The sequence below is a fragment of the Homo sapiens genome, chromosome 4 (assembly GCF_000001405.40).
Source record: "Homo sapiens chromosome 4, GRCh38.p14 Primary Assembly".
NCBI lineage: Eukaryota > Metazoa > Chordata > Mammalia > Primates > Hominidae > Homo > Homo sapiens.
In genome coordinates, this window is record NC_000004.12 from 11,813,493 (window position 1) to 11,829,462 (window position 15,970).

The following is a 15,970-nucleotide window of genomic DNA, read 5'->3' on the forward strand; positions in this document are numbered from 1 at the left end:
TTTACCCCATCTTAGCTTCAGCAGTAGAACCCTCTAAAAAGACAGATCTAAGACACCCTTCCATCCTTTTTCTCTATTTTTATACTCCAACAAATGAAGAAAGTGTTCTGAAACATAACTCATTGTTTTTGTAAAGACGACTGAAATACAAACCTTGGTTTTTCTACAGGTTCTATGAAAAGCTTGACTATATCTTTTCTTTTATTTTTTTCTTTTCAGCTTGATGAACACCTGTTTTCGAAGTCCTGAATCTGTAGTCATAAGATTCAGCCCTGTTTCCTTCCAAATCTTGACTTCATATTCAAACTAGAGAATAAAAATTTAAAAACAGGCCCTTGTGCCTAGGATGTAGAAAAATTACTAATTGTTTTCCTATGTCCCACGTAAAATACCAAACAGTTTTTAACCATTATGAAAATGTATCGTAAGACAGCTTCAAAATAAAGTATTTTCATGTAAGTTTAAATATTATGGCTATTTTTCTTCTTTAGAATAGTCTTATGTTACAAAGAAACCTTTTGGTGCTGTAAGAATGCAAGGGAAACATAAAACTAAGAGGAAAAATACAAGCAATTTTTTCCACTGCACTCAGTTTAAATAACAAATCAGCTGCAGAATAAGAGCAGCTTGTTATAACCCTCCTATTGTTATATGTGCTGCTGTAAAATCCTTCTTACATAATTCAAAACACATGACACATAATTGACAGACAGATATAAAACATATTAATAACAACGGTATCACTAACAGTAACAGGAAATATGGAAATCCCTCTCTCAAGCTTGACAAGGCACTTCTCTGCTTAGTGTTTAGAGACTCCCTTGGAAATACCTGCAAAGATTTTGAGGAAAACAAGCTTCACATAATAAAGTAGTAGGTGGTAGGTAATCTAATAAAGTGTGAAGGTTCATACAGCTACTTGGGAGGCTGAGGCAGAAGAATTGCTATAACCTGGGATGCGGAGGTTGCAGTGAGCCGAGGTCGGGCCACTGCATTCCAGCCTGGCAACAGAGGGAGACTGTCTCAAAAAAAAAAAAAAAAAAAAAAAAGATCCTGTAGGAAACTTAGTATATTGAAAGACAGATACTCAAATACGTGTACATAAAATGTTCATAGCAGCACTACCTACAATATCTAAAAAGTGGAAACTGCCCAAATGTTCATCAACAAATAAATGGGTGAACAAAATGTGATAAGTACAAACAATGGAATATTATTAAGCCATTAAAGGATATGAGGTATGGAAACATGCTATACATGGATATACCTTAGGCACATTATGCTAAGTGGAAAAGCCAAACACAAAAAGCCACAGATTGTATGATTTCATTTGTATGATTTCCAGAATACGAAAATCCACAGAGAGAGAGAGAGAGCAGATGGGTGGTTGCCAGGGGCTAGAAGTGGGGGTGAGGAATGGCATGTGACTGCTTAATGGGTATAAGTTTTTCTTTTGGAGTGAAGAAAATGTTTTGCAAGCTGACAGAGGTGGTGGTTGCACAATATTGTGGATGTGCTGAATGCTGATGAGTTATATACCCTGGTGTTTTATTGCACAGCCCAGTAATGATAATTAATAGCAGTGTTTGAATTTTTCGAAATAGCTAAAAGAGAGAATTTTAAAGGTTCTCAACAAACAGAAATAATAACTTTTTGAGGTCATGAGTATGCTAATTAGCCAATTTGATCATTTTGCAATATATACATGTACTGAAACATGATATCCATAAATTTATACAATTATTATCAAAAATATTCTGAACTTCTTCCCCCCAAGTTAGTAATAAATAAAAAGCAAATAATAAAATACAATGGTTAATTTTATGTTATATGAATTTTATTTCAATGTAAACATCTCAAGAGTAATAATGCTATTGTAATGTCTGCATAGGCTGAGAATATAAATTACTTTGCCAACTAAAGAAGATCATCACACAATTGATTTGATGGAGGCAACTGTCAAGAGGGCAGAATCATTAAATAGCCAAGTCTAGTTGGGTAACCATGTCTAGACACAGTCCCAGTCAGAGGTTTCTTTACTTCAAAATCATTACCATGACAGTTGTTTTAGGGTTTTGAACCTGACCTTCTGTTGACTAAATTTGCATGGTGAAGGGAATGTTGTACAGGATCCAGGAGACAGCAGTTTAATTCTGATCAACTTCAATATTTCAGCTTGACTTACAGCTTGAAGAGAAGAAAGATTAAAAAAAAAAAAAACCTATAACATAATCTGAGAAGCTTTCAAATCTCTAGTTTTAAGTAAATTAACAAGCTATTCATCCTAAACACTAAGTAAATATACATAGGAGACAAACAATTTTTAATTGGAAATGTAAAAGTCACCGATTAATCTGTCTTTAGCCACATAAATCAGATAATTGATTGTTATTTCTTCTTAATGCGTGAACTCACAAGGTCTATAAAGTCAATGTAGTGTCTCCCTCACAGGGACCAGATGCATGTAATAAATGAGTAAGTTCTTGGAAAGGATATACCTCTGTCAATCCAGAAAATGGTACTTAAAATCTAAGTTTCTTAAGAGATAGGAAATAGTAGAAGAGAGGAACTTTAGAGGTCAAATAAAAATTGAAAAATAAAACAGAAATAGGTCTTACTCTATCTCTACTTTATATTTCTCTTAGTTTCACCAAATTAGCCAAAAATTATATCTAAAAGCCATTTTTATGCACTTAAGATCAAAATGTAAACATCCTCCATATCCCTGGTTTTTCTTGACTACTCACTCCCATATACCAGGAAAATCAATCCTAAAGTCAATATTTTTTAATTTTCTAAATGAATCTGTCATGCACTCTTATCTTTTTATTGCATTATCATCATGGTAGGTAAACGATCCTTAATTGTAAATTAAGTCAGGGCTAAAACATGTCATGATTCATGTAAATTACATCACCTATTGCTATGTTTTATAATACATAAATTTATTTTGTCTGTAAACTGGTGGCATGTACTTACTTCACAAGAATTTTTTATAATGCTGAAGTTCTTAGAAATTATAATGATGAAGTTTTTGGAAAATGACATATATTATTCATTACACTTCAGTAACACCAAAAAAGTAGGTTTCTAGAGCAATATTGTATTAGTTATCTGTTGCTATATTAAAAACTCCCCCCAAAAGCAGCTGTTGAGAACAACATACCTTTCATTATCCAGTTTTTATGAATCAAGAATTTGGGAGTAGTTTAGCTGGGTGGTTTTGGCTTAGGGTCTCTTAAAATTTTCAGTCAAGATATCAGCCCTGGGCCAAACACGGTAGCTCAAGCCTATAATCCTAGCACTTTGGGAGGCCAAGGCAGGCGGATCACTTGAGGCCAGTTCAAAACCAGCCTGGCCAACATTGTGAAACCCTGAATCTACCAAAAAATACAAAAACAAAATAGCCAGGCGTGGTGGCACATGTCTGTAATCCCAGCTACTTGGGAGGCTGAGGCAGGAGAATCGCATCAACACAGCAACACAGAGGTTGCAGTGAGCCAAGATCCCACCACTGCACTCCAGCCTGGGCCACAGAGCACGTCTCAAAGTAATAATAATAATAATAATAATAATAATAATAATAATGATGATGATGATGATGAAAGATATCAGCCCTGGCTGTGGTCATCTCAAGTCTCTACTAGAAAGAGTTCTATTTCTGTGGCTGTTGGCAGGCCTTGGAAAATCTTTACAACTTCACTCTCTTGGTTAAGAGAAAAATGTCAAAAGATCTCCTGAGTTCACTCATGTAGGCCTCTCTACATAGCTCTGTCATCACAGGGAAGCTGGCTTCCCCCAGAGCACACTATTGTAAAATCTAATCTCAAAGATGAGGAATCCATCACTTCTGCCATATTCTATTTATGAAAAGTGAGTTATTTAGTCCTGTGCACATTCAAGTGGAGGGGATTACACAATGGTGTGGATATCAGGAGATGGGTTATTGGATACTCTCATGCAGGCTACCTACCAGAAATAGCAAACATGTGCTCTCAATTCTCATAGCTCATAGTTAGAGGAGTCCGGTCTTTCAGTACAAATCTGGCCACTTAGTGTCTTCTGAAAACTCAGGTCATTTTGTTAAACTCTTAGAACCTCAGTTTTCTTCTCTTATAAAATAGAATGAACATAACAAACCTTATAGAGTTGTTGGGAAAATCAAATGATGATCGTCAAGGCAGATGCCATGAAGTGATAGCAGGGGGCAGTCACAGTCAATCAGCTCCAAACCGGAGAGAGGCGTTTTCTTATCGAAATCCCTAAATGCTTCTAGTATGCACAAACTGGCATCCTCAAGGGGAGAAGGGCAAAATGCTGCCCCAACCACTGACTACTGGCTGCTGAATTAGATAAGCCTTAAGAAGCGTCATTCTTCACCATTTCCCTTGATCTTTTCTCAGTGGATGCCCTTAATCTCCATTTCACTTGGCTGCTGAAGCATTTTAGATAGGCTATTGATTAGTGGAAAGACATGTCACACACACACGCATACTTATACCTTTTCAAATTTTAAACAAAGAATATTGAAGACATAGGTGTTAGTGGATTCTCTGTGCAAAAATCATCTTTAAGTATATTTTTTTAAAAACTGACCTATAATTGTACTATACCAAGTATGGCCATTTTAAGCTCAGAGCTTACAGTACCCATCTAATTATTTCTTTTAAAGGAATTTTTACAAGTTCTATGTATGCGAAGGCATGTCTTTATCTAGATGGAAAGATGCTAGGGGAATGTGTGAAGAAACCTAGTTTGTAGGTAGTACTCAGGTGGATTTAATATGTTATTTTCCTTAAAGAATATCTTTGCCTCTAAGTTTCCCCTATCATTGCAAACACTGTGATTTAAAATTCTCCTGTTTCTAAATGTCTATCACCATTTGGTTTGATGAGCTAATTCCTAGCATTCTTGCACTTCACTGAGATGTTGCTTCCTGAAACAATTCTTCTTTTCTATGAACTTCAGGGATTTTATTTATTTATTTATTTATTTATTTATTGAGACAGAGTCTCACTCTGTCACCCAGGCTGGAGTGCAGTGGTGCGATCTCGGCTCACTGCAAGCTCCTCCTCCCGGGTTCACTCCATTCTCCTGCCTCAGCCTCCAGAGTAGCTGGGACTACAGGCGCCCACCACCATGCCTGGCTAATTTTTTCTATTTTTAGTAGAGACGAGGTTTCACCATGTTAGCCAGGATGATCTCGATCTCCTGACCTCTTGATCCACCCGCCTCGGCCTCCCAAAGTGCTGGGATTACAGGCGTGAGCCACCGCGCCCTGCCCACTTCAGGGATTTTTATGAGGTTCCTCAATCCATGTTTTGCCCACCCTTTGGCAAATATGCCTTGCCAAGAAGTACAGCACAGGTGATCCTGATTTATGTGGACTAAGAATCTCTGGGGCTAGATTTCTGCTGTGTCTGTAGATGAGGCTTGAGGTAAGGAGGTTTTTCGTTTTTCTGCTTTTATTATTGTATTGATCCAACTGTACCTGCAGACAAAGGTAGCATGAGGAATTCAGGGTTATGTTGTTCATGTACCTGTTTCTCCTAGAATCCAAATTTCCTGCTCCAAAGTTGATGCTAATTTATCTCTAGATCTTTCATGGTGGGCACTTAAGAAATGTTTGGAAAACATTTTGTTGGCTCTAAATATGTATTGACTAAAATATAGCAGATGAGTAAAAGAAGTTCATTGAGAATTGTGAAATATGGAAGATCATGGAAGGAGAAATAGATAAGACACAGGAAGGCTTCCATGAGGACCAAACAGAATAGAATTATCACTCAACCCTGCCATGCAGGGTTGTTGTGAAGATCAACAAAATAATGTGGAATGAGTGATTCTAAAGCTTAAAAATCAGTGTTGTTGATTATTTTTCAACAACAAAAACTGCTAGATTTCTCCACTAAAATTTTCCAGTATATATTCATAAGCAAAACAATGGATATGAAGCCATATTACAAGTTCACATTATTATAATAGTTTACCATTAGTTAACCCAAAAATGTTTGTAAGCATGTAGTATTGCTTTTAAATTCTCCTAGTAGAGCAATAGATGAGAAATATACATAGGAAATAATCTCTGTCTTCAAGAAAGGAATTCTTCTGTATCACCTAAAAAACAACGAGTATGAAGATGACAAAGAAAAAGAAGATGCAAAACTTGTAGTAGCATGAAACTACTTGCATAAATTGACCAATGTGCTAAGGAATTTATATGACATGAATAAACTCACAGTTATTCTATGTTGAATATACTATTTTTGTCATAACTTATGTTCTATAAAATGTGTGAGAATAAAGATGAAGCTTGGATGAGAGAAAAGGGAGAGCCCTAATCCCATTTTATCTCCTAAAAGCCACTGAAGGGGGTGACCTTCTTTACTAGGTTTTTGAGTTTTGATATATGAGGTTTTTGTTTGTTTATAGCTTATAATCATATCAAGTGGTTTCTGTAGAAAGGTCAATCATCAGGGACTTCCTCAGGAGGGAGGAGTATCTCCTTTGTAGCCAGCATACTTTTTTCACAAAAAGACTTTTTTTTTTTCTTTTTGAGACAGAGTCTTGCTCTGTAGCCTAGGCTGGAGTGCAGTGGCGCAATCTTGGCTCACTGCAAGCTCCGCCTCCTGGGTTCACACCATTCTCCTACCTCAGCCTCCCAAGTAGCTGGGACTACAGGCGCCCACCACCACACCTGGCTCATTTTTTTTGTATTTTTAGTACAGATGGGGTTTCACCATGTTGCCAAGATGGTCTCGATCTCCTGACCCCGTGATCTGCCTGCCTTGGCCTAAGACTTATTTTTTTAGAGCAGTTTTAGTTGCACATCAAAATTGAAAGGAAGGTACAGAGACTTTCCATGTATCTGTGCACAGCCTTCCTCATTATTGACACTTCCCAACAGTCTTGCATTATTCACAATTGATGAACCTACATTAAGATATTATTTGTATCTCTAATTCAATTTGTATTCTCTTAATTTAAATTTAAATTGGGTTAACAAGTTCAAATTATTTGGTCACGGTCAGTGTTCGTATTATGATATCAGAATTTGATTTCAGGATGTCTGAGTCTCAGAGGCTGGATGGATAATATGATCATTTTACAAATTACTCTAGTTTTTATTATGTGGCTGAAGAAACTGAAACCCAACACAAATACTCCAGTTCAAAACTTCTAGGAAGTAGAAGAGGCGGTGATGGACATGGCTCCCTGGGACTCCCAAGTTTCTGCTCCCTCCTGACATGCTGTCACCTCGCCTTATGCCAGGGCTGCTTCCATTTCATTTGCCAGTGGCCTGGTTATAAGTTCATTGCTGACTATCCTTTCCATTCATACCCTGGTGCTTTTACAGTTTTAAACGACCACAAGACAAGAAGGGGAATTGTATCTGTAGTGGTGGAAGAAATGTTGGCTTTGGAATCAGAATTTGCTTCAAATTTTGACTAAGCCATTTAGTAGCTCTGTGAACTTGAACAAGTTATTTACATTGCCTGCACTTCTACTTGCTCAGTTCATTCATTCACCAGAGTTAACTGCTGCCAATTCTCTAACATCATGCCTCTAGACCTCAGGGAGCTGGCAGTAAACATAGCAAGGCTCTATCCTCGGGGAACAGATATTCTTATGAGGCACAGAAATGATGAAAACAAACACATTTAATGTACAGAAATGTGTAAAATAAAGAACTAGGGATAATTGAAGGGACGTGACTTAAATACAAGTTGCCCATAAGATGTGGCCGTTGAAATACCATTATTTTATGTTGATAAACCATTTTCGATATTTTCCTCTGTTACACAGTTTTCTCTGTTTCCAAACTTGGCAGCCATCATGTAGATTGGTCAGCTAATGTTTTCCAGGAAAGATAACAGTTGGATTGAGAGATACTGGGAACCAAGGGATTATATGTGGGGAGAAGGATGAGCAGGTCATGCAGAAGAAACAGTAAATGCATAGACACTGGAGTTTTTGCAAAAAGATATGAGGTTCTAACCATGGGTAACAGAGGGTAAGAGGGCAGTGAGAGGATTGGTGTATGAAGTCAGACAGATGTACAAGTCCCAGTTGGCCATACTTAGGATTTTAGTCTACACAAAATAAGAAGTCACTGAAAGGTTTTGAGCACAATGGTGGCATCATCATATTTCTTTTTTTTTTAATGTCTCATTTTACAGGGAGTTGATTACTAGCTACCTAACGTATAGGATGCATGCGTGCAACGATTATTTGACACTAACTATAAAAAATGCTCTAGGCACAATCCTTGGGAACAAAGTAGATTTCAACAAATATTACCTGTTACTTCGTTCCTTTTCTTATTTAATACAGAGATTCAGATTTCTGCAGACAAGAAGGGCATTGTTAGAAAGGGGACTACTCGGCAGCAGCCCTGTTTCCTTGGAAAGTAGCTCATTCTTCTTTGTTCTTTGGCCAACAATTGGGCCTGGGCCTGAAAAAAAGTTGTCTTTAAACACTGACTCTTGTGAAATGCCTGTGGAGGTCTGCAAAGGCAGGGCCAGAACAAGAACTAAATTTGAAGGGGGATTTGATCCAAGTGGGAGGCAGATAATGAGTGGATTAACTCAGGTCAAGGGAAGAAAAAAGTGAAGGAGAAAAATAGATGAAGTAGTTGCATATTGGAATAACAAGTAACTAGAGGTGACCTTTTTGATGTAGATGGCAGAGCCAGCTAACAGGGAGCTTTGCAGCAGGCAGGGAATACTCCTGAAACTGCAAATGTCCCAGGAGGGAGGTGAGAGAGGCTTCCAATGCTGAGCACAGAGAGGTCTGCTCAGTCCTCCTGCAAACAGCTGATGAGTGGCAAAACTTGCTTTCAGAATTGATAAAAGCACCCCTAAGGGAGCTGATGGCTTACAGAATTACTTCCAAGAGGAAACTCTTTCACTCAGATGACTGCAAACTGGATCAAACTGAACTCCACAAGCACGCTGCATTTTGAAAAGTAATTGTGCTCAGGTAAGAGCATTGCTTACATCAGAGTTTGCAAATTCATTAATTTCTTCATTTATTCTTCGAGAACCTTCTGTGTACTGAGGACTTTTTAGGTGCTGGAGACCAAATATTGATCAAAATCTGTGCTTTCTTAGAATATAATTTATATAATTTGGGGGGTGAGGGTGGAAACAATAAACAAAATGTATGTTAAATGTAAGGTATGTCAGATAGTAATAAATGTCAGGAAAAATATAAAAGGCATTAAGAGGATTAAGTGTGCAAGGTGGAGGTGGTTGGGTGTGGCTGCAGCATCAAGTGGGGAGGGCATAGTGAAAGGCTGTATGAAAAGGCAGCAGCAGAGCAGGGAGGAAAAGGAGTTAGATTCTTGCTATCTGAGGAAAACCTTTCTTGGAAGAGGGAAGAACAGAAAAGCCAGCACAGCTAAAATTAAATGAGAAAAAAAGGGAAGGTAGTTGATGTCAGAGAGGGGAGGACCACAGGTCATGAAGCCAGGTGATGAGATGGAAATTCCCTGGAGGGTTGTGAGCAAAACAGTGAGGTGACTTGATCTAAACCTGTTTAAAGGATCGTCCTGGCTGCTGTGTTGTAAACAGACTACCTGGGCTAAAGGGCAGAAGGAGATCAGTTATGGCAATCCTGGCTACTGATGATGAAAACTTGGACCCAGGAGTTGCAATGGAAGCAATGAAAAGAGCAGAAGTTTCTGGATTCATTTTAAATTTAGAACTGACCAGGTAGGTTGATCAATTATATTTGGCCTATAAGAAAAAAACAGGATTCTTTGGCGGGGATTGGGATTTTGAAAGCATATTGGTATATGCCGGAGTTAAGGGGAGATCAGGAGTTCATTTTTGAGACGTGTTAGTAGAATGGAGGTGTGTTGAAGGCAGAGATGTGTTTGGGACATTTTCTTCTCTCATGCTGACTCCAATACATAGGAGGTGACTGATGAGAGTGTGGTGGGTATAGGACTCTGAAGACCCATCCTGGCTGAGAGAGAGCCTTGACTGATTTCCAGTTCTGATCAGAGCTTAAACAGTAGAGAATATGTGAAAATAGCATTCTTATTTTAAATAATATTGGTAGGTGATATTGTTTGAATGTGTTCCCTCTAAAATTTATGTTGAAACTACTTCATGCAATAGTATTAACAGGTGCAGTCTTGTAAGGTGATTGAGTTATGATGGCTCCACCTTCACATGTGGGATTAGCACCCTTTTAAGAGGGCTCCAAGTGGAAGGGAGCACTCTCTTGCTCTTCTGCTCTTCTGCCATGTGAGACGGCAGTGCTCCTCCCCTCCAGAGGACGCAACAATAAGATGCCATCTTGGAAGCTGAAAGCAGCCCTCACCAGATGCCACTTCTGCTAGTGCCTTGATCTTGAACTTTCCAGCCTCCAGAATCATGAGAAATAAATTTCTATTGTTCATAAATTATATAGTCTGTGCTATTTTGTTACAGCAGCACAAATGGGCTAAGACAATGAGTCTTTTTTTTTTTTTTTTACAATCCTTTCTATAGGTCAGATGCCCCATATAAGAAAGATTTTATAAGTTTAATTTTGAGCTTTTCATACTCACAGAAGCTCCAGGTTAGACTATCTCTCCCAATTGGCTTCACTGTCTCCTGCAGACCTGGTTTTAAAGGAGATCCACAGAGTTCTTTTTGCTCCTCAAGGAGATTGAAAAATGAACTCAGAGAGCTCATCTGAACCTTATCAAGAGTTGCCTCCTCACAGCACTGAAGACTTCACTGTTATACAGCACATAAGAGACCTTGCTCATGAAGCAATCTATAAGAACTGATTATCTACTTTTTCTTAGAAGATTAAGATTAACCTCATCAAGTTTACATCTTAGTTTTCTTCCTAGGTCAAATGGGAACCTCTCGTTATTCTCACTCTTTTCCCAGGGTTATTTACTGAAATAGCTCTGGATTAGAATCAGTTCATCCTCAATTTTTCATAGTCTCATCAAAACTTCCAAGCTGTCTTCTGAAAGTCATTGTATCTCACTAGGAAAACCATATGGGAATTCTCTAACTTGCACATCTTCACGTTCACCGATCTATCCGTATCTAAGCCTTTTGTTCCCTCTTTTCTACCTATTCCTAACTCCTTTCCCATTGCAATAGATTTACTGTCCCCCCTCCCATGGAGGACCAAATTCTGGTTCGTGCATTGGCTCCCATAAGCTCTTGGGTACTCATATTCCTCACTTCTGTGATTATACTCCTTCCTCCCAGAGCATCCAGCTTTCTTTGCAGAAACATCTGTATTATGCAATGCAGGATGTTACCAAATATTCTGTAGTATCTCTCTTGATCTCTCATCACTCTAGCTACTTCCTAATTTCTCTAGATCACTGAGAGAAAACTACAAGGAATACTACAAAATACTACAAAAACCCTACTTGCTGTCCTCATATCCTCACTTACCGTTCTTTCTTGAACCCATTTCTATCCTATTTTTCTCTCCACCATACCACTGAAATTGCTTTAGTCAAGGTTGCCAGTGATTGCTGCATGGTTAATCCAATGGTCAGTCTCAGTCGTCATTTTTATTTTACCTGTCTGCAGGGTTGGGCAGAAATGAAACTTCTGGTATCTAAAACATTTTATTTATTTAATATCTCCCAATTTTTCACAATTTTACCAGCATACTTCCTTAGTCTTTTTTGTTTTTTTTGTCTTTTATAGACACCTTATATTTATGAAAATTAAATGAGATGATGTCTGAAAACTACCTAATAAATGTATAAAACAGTGGTTCTGTTTCTCCATTCCTCCTTCATCCTTTTTGTGTATGTGTATATGTGTGTGTGTGCATATGTGTGTGTGTGTGTGTGTTGCTTTTCAGTATGACTCAGTTTATTTAAAGGTACTCCAGTGAGCACTTTTGCAGTAGCCTGGAGCTCATATTTTAAGATAGTTTTCTCTCTGTTATCATTCCCTAGATGATCTTATTGAGTTTCATGGATTTCCAAAACAACTGTATGCTTAACACTGACAAAACAAATTAAACCCATTCTTTTACCTGAGCTTCAGAGTCAATGTATCATTTGTATGCCCAAGAGTTATCTCACAATTAACATATTTAAAGGAGAACTCTCAATTCAACACCTCTGCACATTTTTTATTCCAATAAATGGCATTATAATTCAGTCAACTGCTCAAGTCAAAAACCTAGACATCACCTTCAAACACCTTCTTTCCTTCAAAATCTTTAACCAATACATAACTATGTTCTACTAGCTATATTTTCATAATGTAGACTATATTCAATTAATTTTTTTTTTACCATTTCCAAGGCTGTCACCATTATTTCACCCCTGGGCCATAATAATATTCTCTCTACTAATCTTTCCTCTTTCACTCTTGTCTTCCTGACAATTTATAATTCTTCATTTTCTTCTTTGTCATTAAAAAAATTCAACTAGACTGCAAGGCCCATTAATACAAGTAACATCTGGTAGTTTTTTTGGGGGGGGGGAACTTGTCTGTTTTTTGAAAAATATTTTTAACTTTTGGATACATAATAGATGAAAATATTTATGGGATACATATAATAATTTGATACAAGCATACAATGTATAATGATCAAATCATGGTAGTTGAAATACTCATCACTTCAAACATTTAGCATCTCTGTGTTGGGAAAACTCCAAATTCACTTTTTTAGTTATTTTGAAATATACAGTAAATCACTGTTAACTATAGTCACCCTATTGTGCTATTAAACACTAGATCTTACTCCCATCTAACTGTATTTAGCTATCCACTAAACAACCCTTCTTGATCCCCGACTCTTCACTTCTTATCCCAGCCTCTGGTAACCATCATTCTACTGTCTACATCCACAAAGTAATTTTTTTTTGTTTTTTTAGCTCCCACATGTGAGTGAGAATATGTGATACTTGTTTTTCTGCACCTGGCTTATTTCACTTAACATAATGTCCTCCAGTTCCTTCCATATTGTCCCAAATGACAGGAATGCATTATTTTTATGGCTGAATAGTATTCCATTATGTATATGTACCACATTCTCTTTATCCATTCATCTGTTGATGGACACTTATATTGCTTTTCATTTCTGGCTACTGTGAATAGTGCTGCAATAAGGATGGGAATGCAGATATCTCTTTGATATACTGATTTGTTTTATTCTGGGAATGTACCCAGCAGTGGGAATGCTGGGTCACATGGTTGTTCTATTTTTATTTATTTGAAGAACCTCCATGCTGTTTTCCACAGTGGCTATACTACTTTACATTCCCATCAACAATGTATGAGCATTCTCCTTTCTCCAAATCCTCACCAAAATTTATTTTGTTTTGTTTTGTCTTTTTGATAAAGATGACTTTAACTGGAGTGAGATGATATCTCATTGTGGTTTTGGTGCATTTCTCTGATGGTTAGTGATATTGAGCTTTTTATCATATACCTGTAGGACATTTGTATGTCTTCTTTTGAGACATGTCTATTTAGATTTTTTGCCCCCTTTTTTTTCTGTTACTCAAGCAGGAGTGGAATGATGTGATTATAGCTCACCGCAGCCTCAAACTCCTGGACTCCAGTGATCTTCCCTCCTCAGCCTCCAGAGTAGCTGGGATTACAGGCACGAGCCACCAAGCCTGGTTTTTGACAAGTTTTAATCAGATTTTTTTTTGCTTTTGGGTTGCCATTTTTCCCAGAAACATAACCTTTTAATAGACGAAATAAATACTCCAGTACATGCAAGGTAAAAACAATGTTGGGGAAAAATCATACTACAGTGTAAATTAAAAAATAAAACACATGCTGACAATAACTTTTCCTCCATTTGGAAATCACATGGCAAATTTATACTCTTTCCACACCAAGTATACTAATTCAACACGATTGCTTAAAATAAATAGCAACATCCAAAAAAAAAAAAGGTAGCTCCATTTATGTCTAAGAAGTGAAAACTGAGGTAACCTTTCTTTTAATTAAAAAAAGCAAAAAATTTGTTTTATATAATCTGGTTACTAATCGCCAGTGAGTTGAAAAGTTTGCAAACATCTCCTCTGAATCTGTAGGCTATCTCTTCACTTTGTTGATTTTATCCTTTAAGCTTTTTAGCTTGATGTAATTCCATTTGTTCATTTTTGCTTTGGTTACCTGTGCTTTTGAGGTCTTAGTCAAGAAATCTTTGCCCAGACCAATGTCCTGAAGCATTTTCCCAATGTTTTCTTCTAGTAGCTTTATAGTTTCAGGTCTTGCACTAAAGTCTTCAATTCATTTTGATTTGTTTTTTGTAAATGGGGAGAGTCTAGTTTCATTCTTCTGCATATGAATGTTCAGTTTTCCAAGAGTCATTTATTAAAGAAACTGACCTTTCCCTAGAGGTTCTTGGTGTTTCTGTCAAAAATGAGTTGACTGTAAATGCTTGGATTTATTTCTGCATTCTCTATTCTGTTCCATTGGTCTATGGGTTCTGCTTTTATGCCAGTATCATGCTATTTTAGTTACTATAGCTTTGCAGTATAATTTGAAGTCAAATAATTTGATGCCTCCAGCTTCAAATTTGTCCTGTTTTGTTTATCATCATATGCTGTATGCCATGAAATAGGGCCTGATGAGTAGTAGGCCTACATATGTCCTTCCCCTTCCTCCCTCCCTCCCTGCCTCCCTCTCTCCCTCCCTCCCTTCTTCCTTCCTTCCTTCCCAACAACATTGTTTAGATTGGAAAACCACTGGATTTTTATCAGCATAATGTCTATTAATTTATAAAATTAAAAACATAAGATATAAATGTTTCAGAGCTGCAAGTAGAGGTGTTAAGAAAGGAAGCTATTTGGAAGAAGTGCTCTTTGAAATAAAGTATGTGAGACATCAAACTGAAGACCCATGATGCGAGAGGTAGAGCGGGAGGGGGGATAATCTCATTTCCAAGATGTAAACTAAAAAAAGGAGGGATGGAATAAAAAAAAAGAAAATTTGCTTCAGTATTCTTTGTTTATTCCTTCATTCAAAAATGAAATATTGCATATCTGTGACGAATCACACGGATACCTTATGAAACATTTTGAGATGAATAAGACTTGGAATTTTTTCTAAAATGAACACATATATCTAGATAATATGTTTTGCATGATGCAGGCAATATAAGATTGTGAAAATGCTTCATGGATTCAATATTTTGTATTAGGCTTCTCTGGAGAAACAGAACCAATAAGATAGATAGATAGATAGATAGATAGATAGATAGATAGATAGATAGATACAAACATAGATCAATCAATCTACATAAATAGAGTTATTATTAAGTATTGGCTCATGTGAGTGTAAAGGCTGAAAAGTCTGAAAAGTCCCACAATCTGTAGTCTGCAAACTGGAGATCTAGGATAGCCAGTAGTACAGATTATCATCTGGGTCTGAAGGCTTGAGAACCAGGAGCACCAAGCGCAAAAGATCAATGTTCCAACTCAACCACGCAGGCAGTGTAAATTCAACCTTCCTCTGCCCATTTGTTTTGTCCAGGTCCTCAACAAACTGGATGATGCCTACTCACATTAGGGAGAACCATCCGCTTTACACAGTTCATCCATTTAAATGCTAATCTCTTCTAGAAACACTCGCACAGACACAGCCCAGAAATAAGGTTTTACCATATATCTGGGCATTCTGTGGCCTAATCAAGTTGACACAAATAATTAACTATCACAGATGGGTAACATTCTCTCATGAGAATACAGTACTGAGGATGCTTTGTACAGAAAGAATAGAACTTCCTTAGAATTGGAAATTAGAGATCATATCTCAGAAAATGGCATTAAGAATTCCGTGTTCTAGGTTCAGAGAAGTGCTTGCTGTGAACCTGGACTATTGCATACAACTGCCCAGAAAGTGCCACTTTAGAAGAACCAATGGAACTACAATCTTCCTGTATGTGGAAGGGAGCACATGAAAATAATACATTAGTTTCCTACTGCAGCTGGAACCGATTACCACAAATTTAGCCGCTTAAA

The 15,970-nt window shown here is 37.3% G+C and overlaps 1 long non-coding RNA gene across 1 annotated transcript, besides 1 other annotated feature; it reads left to right on the plus strand.

The window, feature by feature from the left end:
* The first annotated feature begins 8,244 nt into the window (after positions 1 to 8,244).
* LOC105374489 (uncharacterized) lies at positions 8,245 to 10,479 on the plus strand. Its single transcript, XR_925403.2, has 3 exons — positions 8,245 to 8,982; positions 9,547 to 9,716; positions 10,128 to 10,479. It is a non-coding gene; the product is annotated as an uncharacterized LOC105374489 (long non-coding RNA).
* Positions 8,413 to 9,020: an enhancer, noted in NCBI's record as "OCT4-NANOG hESC enhancer chr4:11823529-11824136 (GRCh37/hg19 assembly coordinates)". NCBI's record gives its function as "activates a minimal SCP1, AML or CMV promoter by ChIP-STARR-seq in primed H9 embryonic stem cells {active_cell/tissue: H9 hESC(primed)}" and the evidence as "EXISTENCE:reporter gene assay evidence [ECO:0000049][PMID:30033119]".
* Positions 10,480 to 15,970: the final 5,491 nt, after the last annotated feature.